The sequence below is a fragment of the Homo sapiens genome, chromosome 12 (genome assembly GCF_000001405.40).
Source record: "Homo sapiens chromosome 12, GRCh38.p14 Primary Assembly".
NCBI lineage: Eukaryota > Metazoa > Chordata > Mammalia > Primates > Hominidae > Homo > Homo sapiens.
In genome coordinates, this window is record NC_000012.12 from 50,340,282 (window position 1) to 50,357,689 (window position 17,408).

The 17,408-nt window shown below is 45.1% G+C and overlaps 1 protein-coding gene across 1 annotated transcript in view; it reads right to left on the reverse strand.

Moving 5' to 3' along the window:
* FAM186A (family with sequence similarity 186 member A) overlaps positions 1-17,408 on the reverse strand; it is a 69,301-nt gene that overhangs the window by 12,973 nt on the left and 38,920 nt on the right. Inside the window, exon 4 of the mRNA NM_001145475.3 lies at positions 10,048-15,967. Within this exon, the coding sequence (NP_001138947.1) occupies positions 10,048-15,967 (5,920 nt within the window). The remainder of the gene's footprint in view (positions 1-10,047; positions 15,968-17,408) is intronic.

A 17,408-nucleotide genomic window follows, 5' to 3' on the forward strand; every position in this document is an offset into this window, starting at 1 on the left:
TCATCTCTTTGTGTGACTGTCTCTCTGAGGAGACTAGGTGCATTGAAAGCAGGGATGTAGCTTATCCATCTTTGTATCCTTCTACCCTCTAATCCCTGTACCTAACACAGTCCCCACAAGTGGTGGATATTTTTTAAATGTTGATGGGCCGAGCTCAGTGTCTCACACCTGTGATCCCAGTAGCTTGAGAGGCCAAGGCAGGAGGATTGCTTGAGCTCAGGAGTTCAAGACCAGTCTGGGCAACAGAGGGAGATCCATCGCTAAAAAAAATATCAAAAATTAGCTGGGCATGATGGCACACACAGGTCGCTTCGGCCCAGGAGTTTGGCGTTATGGTGAGCTATGATCACACCAATGCACTCCAGCCTGGTTGATAGAGCAAGACCCTGTCTCTTTAAAAAAAAAAAAAATGTTGATGAATTAAGTGATGCTATCTAGAGAGCACAACATCTAGTACTATTGAGAACTTTCTTCAATATATATGGAAACAAATGTCTAATTATCATCATCTTTTCTAATTTTTTTTTTTTTTTGAGACAGAGTCTTGCTCTGTTGCCCAGGCTGGAGTGCAATGGTGTGATCTGGGCTCACTGCAACTTCTGCCTCCCGAGTTCAAGCGATTATCCTGCCTCAGCCTCCCAAGTAGCCAGCATTACAGGTGCACGCCATCATGCCCAGCTAATTTTTGTATTTTTGGTAGAGATGGGGTTTTGCCTTGTTGGCCAGGCTGTTCTCAAACTCCTGACCTCAGGTGATCTGCCTGCCTTGGCCTCCCAAAGTGCTGGGATTACAGGCATGAGCCACCGCGCCCAGCTCATCTTTTCTAATTTTACATCTTCCCTGTCATCTCTTCTCAGATATATTTCACCGATCATGAGGGAATACAATTCTAAAACTATATTTTAGCACTTAAATGTAGAATTCTTCACTTACAGAGGCTCTACAGAAATCTTTATTCAAAAACAGTTTATATTACTGTAGTATTTTTCTCTTACATATAATATTAGAATCTTCTTGACCTAGCCATCCTTGTCATAAAATTTTTAATCTTTCAGTATTTTATTTGTTGTTGCATCTGTCTGTGATTTTGTTATTATAACATTAAATATTAGAGAAGAGCTTTCTGAAAGAATGAATTGATCCTCGATGGGATTAAGGTTATGATTGTATAAAGTCATATTTTTAAATGATTTTACTGAGACAGGTCAGATTATGCTACTTAGGTTCTCAAAGTCTTCAATAAATCTAAATGAATCCTAAAAATTGAGAAAGCGACCTGACACAGTGGCTCATACCTGTAATCCCAGCACTTTGGGAGGCCAAGGTGGGCAGATCACGAGGTCAGGAGTTCGAGACCAACCTGGCCAACATGGTGAAACCCTGTCTCTACTAAAAATACAAAAATTAGCTGGGCGTAGTGATGTGCATCTGTAATCCCAGCTACTCAGGAGGCTGATGCAGGAGAATTCCCTGAACCCAGGAGGCGGAGGTTGCAATGAGCTGAGATCGTGCCCCTGCACTCCAGCTTGGGCAACAGAGCAAGACTTCGTCTCAAAAAAAAAGATAAAATTGAGAGAAAGCTGTCAAAGAACTCCCTTCAAAAAGTACTAAGCCAGTGTAATATCATAGGGGAAATCTGCCAAACCTTAAAAGAACAGCTAATTTTACTATTAAATTGTTTCAGAGCACAAAAGATAAACTTCCACATTTTTTAATGATGCAAGCTTAAGATTATACCAAAACTTCACAAAGATAATACCATAAGAAGTAAACTGCCTGCCAAACTTAACTTATGAATATGAATGAGAAAAATCCTTAATAAAATATAGTGATTCTACAATATAGTCAAGGAAGGAAAAAAAAAATAGCCAGGCATGGCGGCGGCGTGCCTGTAATCCCAGCTACTCTGGAGGCTGAAACAGGCTGATGCAAGAGAATTGCTTGAACCTGGGAGGCAGAGGTTGCAGTGAGCTGAGATCATGCCACTGCACTCCAGCCTGGGCAACCAAGTGAGACTCTTGTCTTAAAAAAAACAAAAACAAAAACAAAACAAAACAAAAAAACAAAGAATGTTACATGTAGAACAAATAGGATTTATGACAGGAATGCAATGATGGTTTAATATAATTATATTAATAGAACTAAGGGGGAAAAATCTCCTTTTTTATTTTTTATTTTTTATTTTATTTTATTTTTTAAAATTTTTTTTTAGAGAGAGAGTCTCGCTCTGTTGCCCAGGCTGGAGTGCAGTGGCATGATCTCGGCTCACTGCAACCTCTGCCTCCTGGGTTCAAGTGATTTTCCGGCCTCAGCCTCCCGAGTAGCTGGGACTACAGCTACATGCTACCACATCTGTCTAGTTTTGTTTGTATTTTTAGTAGAGACAGGGTTTCACCATGTTAGCCAGGATGGTCTCGATCTGATCTCGTGATCCACCCGCCTCAGCCTCCCAAAGTGCTGGGATTACAGGCGTGAGCCACCGCTCCCGACCTTTTTTTTTTTTGAGACAATGTCTCGCTCTGTCACCCAGGGTGGAGTGCAGTGGCACAACACGATCATAACTCATCACATCCTTGAACTCCTGGGCTCAAGCAGTCCTCCTGTCTCAGTTTTCCAAATAGCTGGGACTACAGGTGCACACCACCAAGACTAGATAATTTTTTTTTTTTTTTTAAAGATGGAGTCAGGCTGGGTGCAGTGGCTGACAACTGTAATCCCAGCACTTTGGGATGCCGAGGTGGTAGGATCATTTGAGCCTAGGAATTCAAGACCAGCCTGGGCAACAGGAGACCCTATCTTTACAAAAAGTTTAAAAATTAGCTACTGGGGAGGCTGAAGTGGGAGGATATTTTAAACCCGGGAAGTTGAGACTGCAGTGTACAGTGATCACGCCACTGCACTCCAGCACAGGCAACATAGCGAGACCCTATCTCAGGAAAAAAGAAAGACGGGGCCCCATGTGTTGTTCAGGCTGGTCTCAAAACTCCTGGCCTCAAGCAATCCTCCCGCCTTAGCTTCCCAAGGTGCTGTGATTACAAGCATAAGCCACCTTCCCAGCCCACATTTTCTTTAATACATGTGAAAATAAAGTGCTCAAATCACATTATTTAACAAAATTGAACATTCAGGGTTTTTTTATTGTTGTTGCTGTTGTTGCTGTTTTCTGAGACAGAGTCTTGCTCTGTTGCCCAGGCTGGAGTGCAGTGGTGCAGTGGTGCGATCTTGGCTCATTGCAACCTCCGTCTCCCGGGCTCAAGCAATTCTCATGCCTCAGCTTCCTGAGTAGCTGGGACTACAGCGAACCCAGCTAATCCATGGGTTTTTGTTTTCTCTCTCTTTTTTCTTTTTTTTCTTTGAGACGGAGTCTCGCTCCGTCACCCAGGCTGGAGTGCAGTGGTGCAATCTCGGCTCACTGCAACCTCCACCTCCCGGGTTCAAGCCATTCTCCTGCCTCAGCCTCCAGAGTAGCTGGGACTACAGGCGCCCGCCACCATGCCCAGCTAATTTTTTGTATTTTTAGTAGAGACGGGGTTTCACTGTGTTAGCCAGGATAGTCCTCATTCTCCTGACCTCGTGATCTGCCTGCCTTGGCCTCCCAAAGTGCTGGGATTATAGGTGTGAGCCACCACACCCAGCCTTTTTTTTTTTTTTTGTAGAGATGGGGTTTCACCATGTTGGCCAGGCTGGTCTCGAACTCCTGGATTCAAGTGATTCACCACCTTGGCCTCCCAAAGTACTAGGATTACAGGATAAGCCACCACACCCAGCCAGTCTATTTTTTTTTTTTTTTCAAATTGAATTTGGTTTAATTCAACTTTTCTTTTTTATTTTAGTAAGTTCAACTTTTACTTTAGATTCAGAGGGTACATATGCAGGTTTGTTACATGGTTATATTGCATGATGCTGAGATTTGGGGTACAAATGATCCCATCACGCAGGTTATGACCATAGTACCCAATAGGTAGTTTTTCAAACCTTGTCCCACTTCCTCTCTCCCCTACTAGTGGTCCCCAGTGTCTGTTGTTCCCATCTTTATGTCCCTGTGTACCCAACATTTAGCTCCATTTATAAGCAAGAATGTCGGTATTTGGTTTTCTGTTCTTCTGTTAATTTGTTTAGGATAATGGCCTCCAACTGCATCCATTTGCTGCAAAGGACATGATTTTGTTCTTGTTTATGGCAGCATAGTATTCCATATGTTGTATATATACCACATTTTCTTTATCCAGTCCACCACTGATGTGTACCTAGGTTGATTCCATGTCTTTGTGAATAATGCTGCAATGAGCAGACAAGTGCATGTGTCTTTTTGGTATAATAATTTATTTTCCTTTGAATATATACCCAGTAATGGGATTGCTGGGTCAAGTGGTAGATCTATTTTAAGTTCTTCGAGAAATCTCAGCTGGGCATGTTGTCTCAGGCCTGTAATCCCAACATTTTGGGAGGCTGGGGCAGGAGGATAACTTGAGCCCAGGAGTTCAAGACTAGCCTGGGAAACATAGTAAGACCCTATCCCTACAAAAAATAAAAAATTAAAAAATTAGCCAGGCATGATGGCATAGGCCTGTAGTCCCAGCTACTCGGAGGCTGATATGGGAAAATTGCATGAGCCCAGGAGATCTAAACTGCAGTGAGCCATCATTGCCCTGGACAAGAGAGTGAGACCATGTCAAAAAACAAAACAAGGCCGAGCGCGGTGGCTCACGCCTGTAATCCCAGCACTGTGTGAGGCGAAGGCGGGTAGATCACCTGAAGTCAGGAGTTCGAGACCAGCCTGACCAATATGATGAAATTCTGTCTTTACTAAAAATACAAAAATTAGCCAGGGGTGGGCAACAAGAGCAAAACTTCGTCTAAAAAACAAAACAAAACAAAAAACAAAAACAAAACACCACCACCACCATAAAAACAAGAAATCTTCAAACTACTTTCCACAGTGGCTGAGCTAATTTACATTCTCATTAACAGCGTATAAGCATTCCTTTTCTCTGCAGCCTTGCTAACATCTGTTAGCAAGGCTGAGGCAGGAGAATGGCTTGAACTCAGGAGGCAGAGGTTGCAGTGAGGTGAGATCGTGCCACTGCCCTCCAACCTGGGCAACAGAGCAAAAACTCTGTCTCTAATACATAAATAAAAACAAAAAAAGAAACAGAATGGTATTTCCTAGGTTTTCTTCTAGGATTTGTATAGTTTGAGGTCTTACATTTAAATCTTTAATCCATCTCGAGTTAATTTTTGTATATGGTGAAAGGTAGGGATGCAATTTCATTCTTCTGCATATGGCCAGCCAGCTGTCCCAGCATCATTTATTGGACAGAGAGTCCTTTCCTCATTGCTTGTTTTTGTTGACTTTGTCCACAATTAGATGATTGTGGGTATGGGGCTTTATTTCTGGGTTCTCTATTCTGTTCCATTGATCTATGTGTCTGTTTTTGTACCAGTACAATGTTGTTTTGGTTACTGTAGCCTTATAGTATAGTTTGAAGTTGGATAATGTAATATGCCTCCAGCTTTGTTGTTTTTGCTTAGGATGGCTTTGGCTATTTGGGCTCTTTTTTGGTTCCATATGAATTTTACAATAGTTTTTTCTAATGTAGTGAAAAATGACATTGGTAGTTTAATAGGAATATCATTGAATCTGTAGACTACTTTGAATAGTATTATATGGTGCCATTGCACTCCAGCCTGGGGGACAAGAGCGAGACTTTGCCTCAAAAAAAAAAAAAAAAATACAAAAGTTAGCCGGGCGTGGTGGCGTGTGCCTATAGTCCCAGCTACTCAGGAGGCTGTGTAGAAGGATTGCTTCAGTCTGTGAGGCAGAAGTTGCAGTGAGCCAAGATTGCACCACTGCACTCCAGCTGGGCGACAAAGCCAGACCCCGCCAAAAAAAAAAAGAAGAAAGGAAAGAAAGAAAGAAAGAGAGAGAGAGAGAGAAGGAAAGAAAGAAAGAAAAAAAGAAAGAAAGAAAGAAAGAAAGAAAGTCATACAGAATGGAATGTAGTGGTGGCGCCATCTCAGCTCACTGCAATCTCTGCCTCCCGGGTTCAAGCAATTCTCCTGCCTCAGCCACCCGAGTATCTGGGATTACAGGCACACACCACCATGCCCAGCTAATTTTTGTATTTTTATTAGAGACAGGGTTTCATCATGTAGGCCAGGTGAACTCCTGACCTTGGGTGATCTGCCCACCTCAGCCTCCTACAGTGTTGGGAGATTACAGGCATGAGCCACCGCACCCAGCCCTGTATCTGTTTTATACATTTATTTAAACATACAAAAATCGCCGGGCGTGGTGGCTCACGCCTGTAATCCCAGCACTTTGGGAGGCCGAAGCGGGTGGATCACGAGGTCAGGAGATCGAGACCATCCTGGCTAACACGGTGAAACCCCGTCTCTACTAAAAATACAAAAAATTAGCCAGGCGTGGTGGTGGGCGCCTGTAGTCCCAGCTACTCGGGAGGCTGAGGCAGGAGAATGGCGTGAATGCGGGAGGCAGAGCTTGCAGTGAGTGGAGATTGCCCCACTGCACTCCAGCCTGGGCAGCAGAGCGACACTCTGTTTCAAAAATAAAATAAAATAAAATAAAATAAACATACAAAAATCAAAATTTTTTGCATATGTGGTCACACATGCACACACACACACACACACAAACCCGAACAACAAAAAAAAGATGTATAATTGGCTTGGGTGACAGAGTAAGACTCTGTCTCAAAAAAAAAAAAAAAAAAATAGATATACCATATTCTTGGATAGGAAGACTCTATTAGTGAATATAAGCTAGGTTTTGCTATTTTAACAAAACTCCCAAGCCTCAGTGGCTTAAAACAACAAAAAAATTCACTTGTTGCTCATACTACGAATCCATCATGGCTTGGCAGGGAGTGAACTTCACTGTATTCTTTCAGGGACATGTGTAAAGGAACAACAATCACCTTGAACATTGTGGGTTACTATGCCAGAGGAAAAGGAAACTCTGTAGGTCATCAAACCAACAAAGACAAGCTCAGCACAGAAATAACGTATCAATTCTGCTCACATCTCATTGACAAGTGCTGGCAAACAGCACTAATAAAGACCTCAAAGACTCAGCATCATAAAAATAAAACGAAAATAACAGAGACTGGAAGTGACTTATCAATAGGCAGATCAATAGAAAATAATAGCTGGGCGCGGTGGCTCACACCTGTAATCCCAGCACTTTGGGAGGCTGAGGCAGGTGGACCACCTGAGGTCAGGAGTTCGAGACCAGCCTGGCCAACATGGTGAAACCCCATCCCTACTAAAAATACAAAAATTAGCTGGGCATGGTGGCACACACCTCCAGCTACTCTAGAGGCTGAGGGCAGGAGAATCGCTTGAACCCAGGAGGCAAAAGAGGGAGACTCCATCTCAAAAAAAAAAAAAATTCCCCGAAATAATAGGTTGGTAACTTCAAATGCAAATGTTAAGAATGGCAGGAAAATTGTTACCTGCCCTAATCCATTTCTGATATTTGCAACTTTTAAAAATCAGGACCAGGACCTGCTGCCTGCTGCCTCCAGGTCACCCCAACAGCAAATTTGCCATGGCAACAACCTCCTACATAATCTGCCATCTCCCTTTGTTTCTTTTGTTTTGTTTTTTTGTTGTTTTTTTGAGACGACGGCACAGTCTTGCCTCACTGCAACCTCTGCCTCTCGGGTTCAAGCAATTCTTCTGCCTCAGCCTCCTGAGTAGCTGGGACTACAGGTGTGAGCCACAATGCCTGGTAATTTTTTTTTTTTTTTTTTTTTTTTGAGATGGAGTCTCACCCCGTTGCCCAGGCTGGAGTGCAATGGCGCAATCTCTGCTCACTGCAACCTCCACCTCCCGGGTTCAAACGATTCTCCTGCCTCAGCGTCCTGAGTAGCTGGAGGTGTGTGCCACCATGCCCAGCTAATTTTTGTATTTTTAGTAGGGATAGTGTTTCACCATGTTGGCCAGGCTGGTCTCGAACTCCTGACCTCAGGTGGTCTGCCTGCCTCAGCCTCCCAAAGTGATGGGATTACAGTTGCCCACCACACCCAGCTAATTTTTGTATTTTTAGTAGAGAAGGGGTTTCACCATGTTGGCCAGCTGATTTTTTGTATTTTTTTTAATAGAGATGAGGTTTCACCATGTTGGCCAGGGTGGTCTCGAACTCCTGACCTCAAGTAACCCACCTGCCTTGGCATCCCAAAGTGCTGGGGTTACAGGCATGAGCCACTGCACCCTGCCTATATTTACTTGTATTTTTTTATTTGTCTTTTCTGTTTATTTTTTATTTTTTCCTGAGATGGAGTCTTGCTCTGCCCCGCTGGCTGGAGTCCAGCGGCTCAATCTCGGCTCACTGCAAGCTCTGCCTCCTGGGTTCAAGCAATTCTCCTGCCCAGCCTCCCAAGTAGCTGGGATTCCAGGCACGTGCCACCATGCCCGGCTAATTTTTGTAGTTTAGAAGAGATGGGGTTTCACCATATTGGCCAGGCTGGTCTTGAACTCATGAACTCGTGATCCACCTGCCTCGGCCTCCCAAAGTACTGTGATTACAGATGTGAGCAACCACGCGTGGCCATTTTTTTGTTTGTTTTTCTTTTCATTAAAAAATTTTTTTGTGGGTACATAGTAGGTATATATATTTTGGGGGTACAGGAGATGTTTTGATACAGGAATGCAATGTGTAATAATCATATTAAGGTAAATGAGGTATCCATTGCATCAAGCATTTATCCTTTGTGTTACAAACAATCCAATAATCCAATTATACTCTGTTATTTTTAAATGTACAATTACATTATTATTGACTATAATCACCCTGTTGTGCTTTCAAATGCTAAATCTTATTCATTCTTTCTATTTTTTTGTACCCATTAACCATCCCTACTTTCCCCCCACCCCCACTACCCTTTCTAGCCTATGGTAACCATCCTTCTCTTTTTTTTTTCCCTGAGACTGGGTCTTGCTCTGTCACCCAGGCTGGAGTGCAGTGGCGCGATCTTGGTTTACTGCAGTCTCAACCTCCTGGGGCTTGAGTGATCCTCCAAGCTCAGCTTCCTGAGTAGCTGGGACTACAGGCATGCACCATCATGTAGAGACAGGGTCTCAATTTGTTGTCCAGGCTTGTCTCAAACCCCTGGGCTCAAGTGATCCTCCCCCCTCAGACTTCCAAAGTGCTGGGATTACAGGCGTGAGTCACTGCACCTGTCCCATCCTTCTACTCTATGTCCATTAGTTCAATTGCTTTAATTTTTAGCTCCCACAAATAAGTGAGAGCATGTGAAGTTTGTCTTTCTGTGCTCAGCTTATTTCATTTAATATAATGACCTCTAGTTCCATTCATGTTGTTGCAAATGGCAGGATCTCTTTTTATTATTATTATTATTATTTTGAGACAGAGGCTGACTCTCTCACCCAGGCTGGAGTGTAGTGGCATGATCGGCTTATTGCAACTTCCACCTCCCGGGTTCAAGCGATTCTCCTGCCCTAGCCTCCCAAGTAATCCTGGGATTACAGGTGCACGCAACCATGCCTGTCTAATTTTTGAATTTTTTGCAGAGATGGGATTTCGCCATGTTGGCCAGGCTGGTCTTGAACTCCTGGCCTCAAGTTATCCACCTGCCTCAGCCTCCCAAAGTGCTGGGATTACAGGCATGAGACACTATGCCTGGTCTCATTCTTTTTTTATGCCATCTCCCATTTTAAAAATCATACATTTCTGGTGAACCAAAAATGATGAAAGAAATTCAGAATAACTGGAAACTTTTGAAATTGATGTTTTGGAGACCAACCATGATCCACAAAATATACTTGGCATCTCCGCTGGAGATATATATGGATGAAATGGATCACGTTATATGTCATTTCTTATTTTCCAAAAAATATATCTCCTTTTGCTATCTTAAACAAGCTTCCTTCCCATAGACCTTATATAAGGCAGTCCTTTAGAACATATGGCCTGACAAATATGAATATACTTCTGGGACAATGACAGAAAATATTTGCAATCAGAACTAAACCAGAAAACTAGACGTAAATAATTATATCTACCTGGCATGCTGGATCAGCCTATAGGCAATGTACTTGCGGAATAAGTATCCCAACTGAACTGTGTCCATATGAAGTATCTCAATTATGAGAGTCCTAGCCATTGTGTGTAGCTGTGAAGGGAGTCCACAAGTTTTTATAGCCTGATTTAATAGTATCAGGTTCTTCTTCTGAGCCTCCACATCAACAAAATACCTCTTTTCTTCAAGTTCTTGAGGAGAGGAAGGGGGCACCATTACTTTGGGTTTCTTGGTATCTGAAACTGAACTCAGTATCCAGGGCTTGTCTATAGGAGGGAATCGGGATTTCTGGTACCATTCCAAAGGTGAAATCTGTGATGTTCTGAGTAGAGTAGTGAGAGAAGATGGTGATGTTGTTGGCTTCATGAGAGTGAGAAGGGCCCTTTCATCAGTGTAAGGGGTTTGGTATACTGGTGTCCTATATTTGGTGAAATGGGACTGAAATGTTCTAAATGATTCTATAGCAAAAGTGTCTCGAAGTATCTGGGTTTCTTCGGAAGTGTCAGAGACCTCCGACATTTGGAACTTCTTAGTGGTGAAAGGAACTTGAGCTACCTTGAAATCTGGAGCACTAGGATGGATCAATACTGATTTAGATTTCAGAGAAGAAATAATTGCCAATCTTTTCTTAGCAACAGAAGGGGACCAACTTTTCTGGGGCTTTCCAGGGGCTGGGGACGGCCATAGTGTGGGAGGATGTCTAGAGGTGGGAGGGATCCATAATGAAGAAGCTCGCCCAGGAAGGGTCCATGTTGCCAGATGCTGCCCAGGGGTAGAAGGAGCCTGCAGATAGGGAGATTGCTCAGCAGTGGCAGGAGGCTGGAATTCCTGGAGCTGCTCAGAGAAGGTTAAGGGTCCAGATTCCAGGAGGTCCCCAGGGATGGAAGAGGCTTCAGGAACTAAGGGCTGCCCAGGAGAAAGAGGAGCCCAGAGACTTGGAATCTGTCCAGAAGTGGGTGGAACTCCAGCTATAAAGGGCTGCCCTGGAGTGGGAGGGGCCCGAGATATTGGGAGCTGCCCAGGGGAGGGAGGGGCCTGTGGTGCCGGGAACTGCGCAGAAGTGGATTGACCTCCGTATACCAGGGTCTGTCCAGAGGAACGAAGAGTCTGTGGTGCCCCAAGCTTCCCAGGCTCAGAAAGAATCCCCATTTCTAGGGGCTTCCCAGGGGCAAAGGGGCCTTGGTTGAGGGGAACCCTTGATATCTGCAAAGGAGTAGAAGAGACCCCGAATATAGAGGACTTCTCAGCAGTAGGAGCTGATGATGCCAGGGACAGCCTAAGACTTGGAGACAATCTTGATATGATGGATTGCCCAGTGGGGAGAGAAGCCTTCGATTTCTGAAATGGTCTATGGGACCACTGGACTTGCTTAAGGGTGAGGGGCGATCCCAAGGTATGGGCTTTATCTAAGGTGAGAGGAACCCCTAACTTCAATAACTGTTCTTGAGCCTGTTCTAAGTTCATAGGGGACTCCAAAGCGTGGGTTTGCTCAGAGGTAAGAGTGACAGCTGACACCCAGGCATTTACTGGGGTGATGGGGACTCCCAGTGCCTGGGCCTGCTGAGGGGTGAGAGTGATCCCCTGAGCCTGCGCCTGCTGAGGGGTGAGAGAGATCCCCAGAGCCTGGGCCTGCTGAGGGGTGAGAGGGATCCCCTGAGCCTGCGCCTGCTGAGGGGTGAGAGGGATCCCCAGTTCCTGCGCCTGCTGAGGGGTGAGAGGGATCCCCAGTTCCTGCGCCTGCTGAGGGGTGAGAGGGATCCCCAGGGCCTGGGCCTGCTGAGGGGTGAGAGGGATCTCCAATTCCTGAGCCTGCGGAGGGATGAGAGGGATCCCCAGGGCCTGGACCTGCTGAGGGGTGAGAGGGATCCCCAATTCCTGAGCCTGCGGAGGGATCAGAGGGATCCCCAGGGCCTGGGCCTGCTGAGGGGTGAGAGGGATCCCCAATTCCTGAGCCTGCGGAGGGATGAGAAGGATCCCCAGGGCCTGGGCCTGCTGAGGGGTGAGAGGGATCCCCAATTCCTGAGCCTGCGGAGGGATGAGAGGGATCCCCAGGGCCTGGGCCTGCTGAGGGGTGAGAGGGATCCCCAATTCCTGAGCCTGCTGAGGGGTGAGAGTGATCCCCAGCTCCTGAGCCTGCTGAGCGGTGAGAGGCATCCCCAGGGCCTGGGCCTGCTGAGGGGTGAGAGTGATCTCCTGAGCCTGTGCCTGCTGAGGGGTGAAAGGGATCCCCAATTCCTGAGCCTGCTGAGGGGTGAGAGGGATCCCCAGTTCCTGAGCCTGCTGAGTGGTGAGAGGCATCCCCAAGGCCTGAGCCTGCTGAGGGGTGAGAGGGATCCCCAGTTCCTGAGCCTGCTGAGTGGTGAGAGGCATCCCCAAGGCCTGAGCGTGCTGAGGGGTGAGAGGGATCCCCAGTTCCTGAGCCTGCTGAGTGGTGAGAGGCATCCCCAAGGCCTGGGCCTGCTGAGGGGTGAGAGTGATCTCCTGAGTCTGCGCCTGCTGAGGGGTGAGAGGGATCCCCAGGGCCTGCGCCTGCTGAGGGGTGAAAGGGATCCCCAGAGCCTGTGCCTGCTTAGGGGTGAGAGGGATCCCCAGGGTCTGGGCCTGCTGAGGGTTGAGAGGGATCCCCAATTCCTGAGCCTGCTTAGGGGTGAGAGTGATCCCCAGGGCCTGGGCCTGCTGAGGAGTAAGAGGGATCCCCAGTTCCTGAACCTGCTTAGGGGTGAGAGTGATTCCGAGAGCCTGCGCCTGCTGAGGGGTGAGAGGGATCCCCAATTGCTGGGCCTGCTGAAGGGTTAGAGTGATCCCCAGGGCCTGGGCCTGCTGAGGGGTGAGAGGGATCCCCAATTCCTGAGCCTGCTGAGGGGTGAGAGAGACCCTCAGGGCCTGGGCCTGCTGAGGGGTGAGAGGGATCCCCAATTCCTGAGCCTGCTGAGGGGTGAGAGGGATCCCCAGGGCCTGGGCCTGCTGAGGGGTAAGAGGGATCCCTAGTTTCTGAGCCTGCTGAGTGGTGAGAGAGATCCCCGGGGCCTGGTCCTGCTGAGGGGTGAGAGTGATCCCTTGAACCTGGGTCTGCTGAGGGGTGAGAGGGATCCCCAGGGCCTGCGCCTGCTGAGGGGTGAAAAGGATCTCCAGGGCCTGGGCCTGCTGAGGGGTGAGAGGGATCCCTAGTTCCTGGGCCTGCTGAAGGGTGAGCGTGATCCCCTGAGCCTGGGCCTGCTGAGGAGTGAGTGTGATCCCCACTTCCTGGGCCTGCTGAGGTGTGAGATGAATGCATTTAGTGAGAGGCTGGCCAGAAATAGGAAGAGCTCCAGGCAGGGAGTATTGTAGGGAGGGGGGAGGTGTGATTGATATGGGCTCCTTTTCATCAGGAAGGTTCTCTAATGTCTTCAGATTCCTCTGAAACTCTTTTCCTTCATATGACCGCTGTACATCTTTCAATACACTCTTCCACCTGGGAGATAATGTCATTGGAGTTTGGATGACCATTTTTTCTAGCTCTTTAGGTTGTGTTTCCTTCATCTGCATCTGATCCTTTGTTTTGATCTGCCTTTCGAGGTCCTCTAGCCCTCTCTCTGGCTTCTGCTTTTCCTTCCCTTTCTCCCTTCTCCTGTGTGGCCCCAAATGTTTCGCTTCCTTCTGAATCTGCCTCATCTGTCCATTCTCCTTTTCCAAGAGCAACCCTTGTGTTTTCATTTTTTGGGTCCCTTCTTCCAGCCGCTGCAGGCTTGACTTTGGAAGCTCTTCTTCCTCCTGTCCTCTTTGCTTTTGCTTTTCCTCTTGCTCAGCCTGCTTTGGAGTTGCCTGTTTTTGCTCTTCCTTCCACATCTCTTCTTCCTGCCACTGTTTCTGGCTCTGTTGTTCTTGCTTTCCCTCCTTCATCTGGAGCCATGCCTTTTTTTCTTCCCAATTCTCACTTATCTTCTCATAGTGCTCCTTCAAGAGATTTCTTTCTCCCAGCAACTGCTGTTTGAGACTCATGCCAGACATTTGTTCTTGACCCTCTTGCAAATATTGCTCCTGCCTTTGTTTTTCCTTCTCCTTGTGGTCTTTCTGTACTGTTGAGACTGTTGGAATATCTCTTTCACTTTCTATTTCAGCCAAGATCATTTGTATTAAATTGTTAATTACTGGATCTGTGCTCTCATATGAGAGGAGGGTACTGCTTTCAGATTTTGCACTAATTGGTGACTTCTGAAAATGCAATCCTGGCATAAATGAGACTACCTTTTTTTGTTTTATAGGTTTCTCTCCAACTTGTTCTTCCTTTTTTGTATCTTTGTATTTTCTCAAGATTTTAGTCACAGTTTCAGCCACTTTTTGGAAATATTCCTCCATTTTTGCCTTTATGATTCCTAATTTTTCAGCTTCTGCTCTTTTTAATAACTCCTCTTCCTTCGGAACAGTCTTTTTGTCAAAAGCCTTTCCTATGTTATCAATTTTCTGTTTTAGGAAAGCCATTATGGCTTCCTGAAATTCTTCGAGGTTACTCTGTTCACTTTTGCCATCTGGACTTTCTAGAACTCTGGTAGATTCTGAAGTCTCTTTAGCCACTCTTGAGAGTGATTTAACAAGTTGATGAGACTTGACTTGTTTGGTCAACTCTTCCTTCTCTTCAGTTTTTTCTTCTTTGCTTGTGATAGTTCCTGAAGAGATATGGTGTTTCTTTCCTTTTATTTTTCCTTTCTGTGGCTCAGCAGTATCATCAAATTGGATCATACTGAGTGGCTCCACTAGGCTTCTAATTTCACCTTTGCCCTCTTTGTCCAATGACTCAGTGGTGGGTTCCACTTTAATCTCTGCTGCAGTTGGACGTTTGTCAAATGGAGATTCACGTTTGACCTTCCTAAATTGCTCCAACATCATCATACTTGTTCCACTTTTGCCACCTTGGCTCTTTGTTTCAGTTAAAGAGAGATGTTTTCTTTTTGCTTCAGTGGGTGACTTTGATTTATCTTCAGAAAAGGATTTCATTTCTTTTCTTTTCTTTTTCAGTACTTGTAGCTCATAGTATTGACTAGGTTTGGCCTCTGAGACTTTCTGTCCACTTTTATTATCACTCAGATTTGGTCCAGAGGTCTCATATACATATGTGGCTTTTTTGTGGCTTCTTTTCCATGATTGATACTCATCAGTCTCATCTTCCTGATAGAAATCACCTTTCTTCAATGATACGTTATCTTTAGTGCTGTCTTCGGAAATATCTTCAGAAGCAACAGGTTGCTGTCGTAGTTCAGTTAAATCTGGAGTTCTTTCAGCTTGGGCTGTATATGAAATAGTGGAGTCCCATTTTATCCCAGAGTCCTTGGTCTCTTTTCTTTGGACTTCATCTACAATATTTTCAAGTTCCTTGTCTAAAATATTGTCCATATTGTCCTCAGTATCACCAACTTTGATTATCGCCCTGGATGACTGTGGAGAAGGTCCAGGTAACACTTTCAAGGTTGATGATGTGGACAATTTTGCATATAGTTGTTCTATAACAATTTTGGATCGAATAAGTTGTTCACATTTTTCTTCTGCATCTTGAAGTTTCTGCTGAAGCATTTCATTTTCGTTACTGAGATCTCGTATTATCTTCAGAGAGAGCTCCTTTTCTGCTTCACTTGTCTCATGTGCATACACAGTGGAACTTTGGAAGTTAACACATTTTAATTCATCATTTAGCATACTCAAAGCTGTAGAAAGGTTTACTATTGTTGATGATATATATTTAATAGCATTGTTTTCCAATGTACTGAACATTGTGGTGCCTATGAGTTCCTGTAGCATACCTTGGATTTCTGAAACCTTTGTATTTGTTGCAAGTTGATCACTAATCATCTGATCTGGTCTTAAAGCACGGGCTGTTGAAGGTCGTTTTATAACTCTTTCTTTCCAAGATTTCCATAGAGTACCTCTAGATACTGAAGAACAAAACATAAAACAGTGAGATGGCATTTTTTTCTTTTGCATTGTGTTCTATCTATGTTTAAATCTAAGGAATTTAGCCTAGATTAACTATAACTAATTAAATATAAGATAAAGATTAATCTGAAAACTTTAGCTCTAAAATAAACAGTATTATTTTTAAAGAATGACTCTTTTCACACAATCACCTAGAAGTTTTTCTTTCTTTTTTTGTTGAGAGGGGATCTCCTTGTTTCCCAGGCTGGAGTGCAGTGGCACGATTACTGCAGCCTCAACTTCCTTGGCTCAAACAATCCACCCACCTCAGCCTCCCTGCCTGAGTTGCTGGTGTTACAGGTGCAAGCCACAGTACCTGGCAATCACCTAGAACTTCTGCCTCCAGAGTTTAGGACATGAACTCAGCTGTGACCTCAACTTAATTTTAGTTACAAGTTTGGGGTTAGATATAATGTATCTAAGACAAGGCCAGGGCTTGGTGGTTCACGCCTGTAATTCCAGCACTTTGGGAGACCTGGGTGGGCAGATGACCTGAGGTCAGGAATTCAAGACCAGCCTGGCCAATATGGTGAAACCCTGTCTCTACTAAAAATACAAAAATTAGCCAGGCGTGATGGCGCATGCCTGTAATCCCAGCTACTCAAGAGGCTAAGGCAGGAGAATCACTTGAACTCGGGAGGCGGAGGTTGCAGTGAGCCGAGATTGCGCCACTGCACTCAAGCCTGGGTAAAAGAGTGAGACTTCGTCTCAACATACATACATACATACATACATACATACATACATACATACATACATACATAAAATAAAATAAAAGATGTAATTCAAGACAAAACTTTTCTCTGGTTTTGGTTATGCTAGTGCTTTCCACTTTCTTTCTCAAATTCCTGTCTCTCTTTTCTCTTTTTTCTGAATCAAAGCTTGCCTTGGTTCTTTCAAAAGTGTCATAAATTAATAGATAAAAAAGACACACATTTGGCCAGGCGCAATGGCTCATGCCTGTAATCCCAGCACTTTGGGAAGCTGAGGCAGGTGGATCACTTGAGGCCAGGAGTTCGTGACCAGCCTGGCCAATATGGTGAACTCTACTAAAAAAACAAAAATTAGCCAGGCGTGGTGGCGCATGCCTGTAGTCCCAACTACTTGGGAGGCTGAGGCAGGAGAACCACTTGAACCTGGGAAGCGGCGGTTGCGGTGAGCCGAGATCACACCACTGTACTTCAGCCTGGGCAAAGAGTGAGACTCTGTCTGAAAAAAAAAAAAAAAAAAGACACACATTTGAAAAGATTTGCAGAATGTCTGAGTGAGAAAATCAGCAATCTTTTTCTTCCCAAAAGGCAAAGATAAAACAGGGCAAAACTGCCAAAACAACTATTTTAGGACTTTGAAATTGACCAAAGGCATACAACACATTGAGAAGCATTTATTCACGAAAAACTA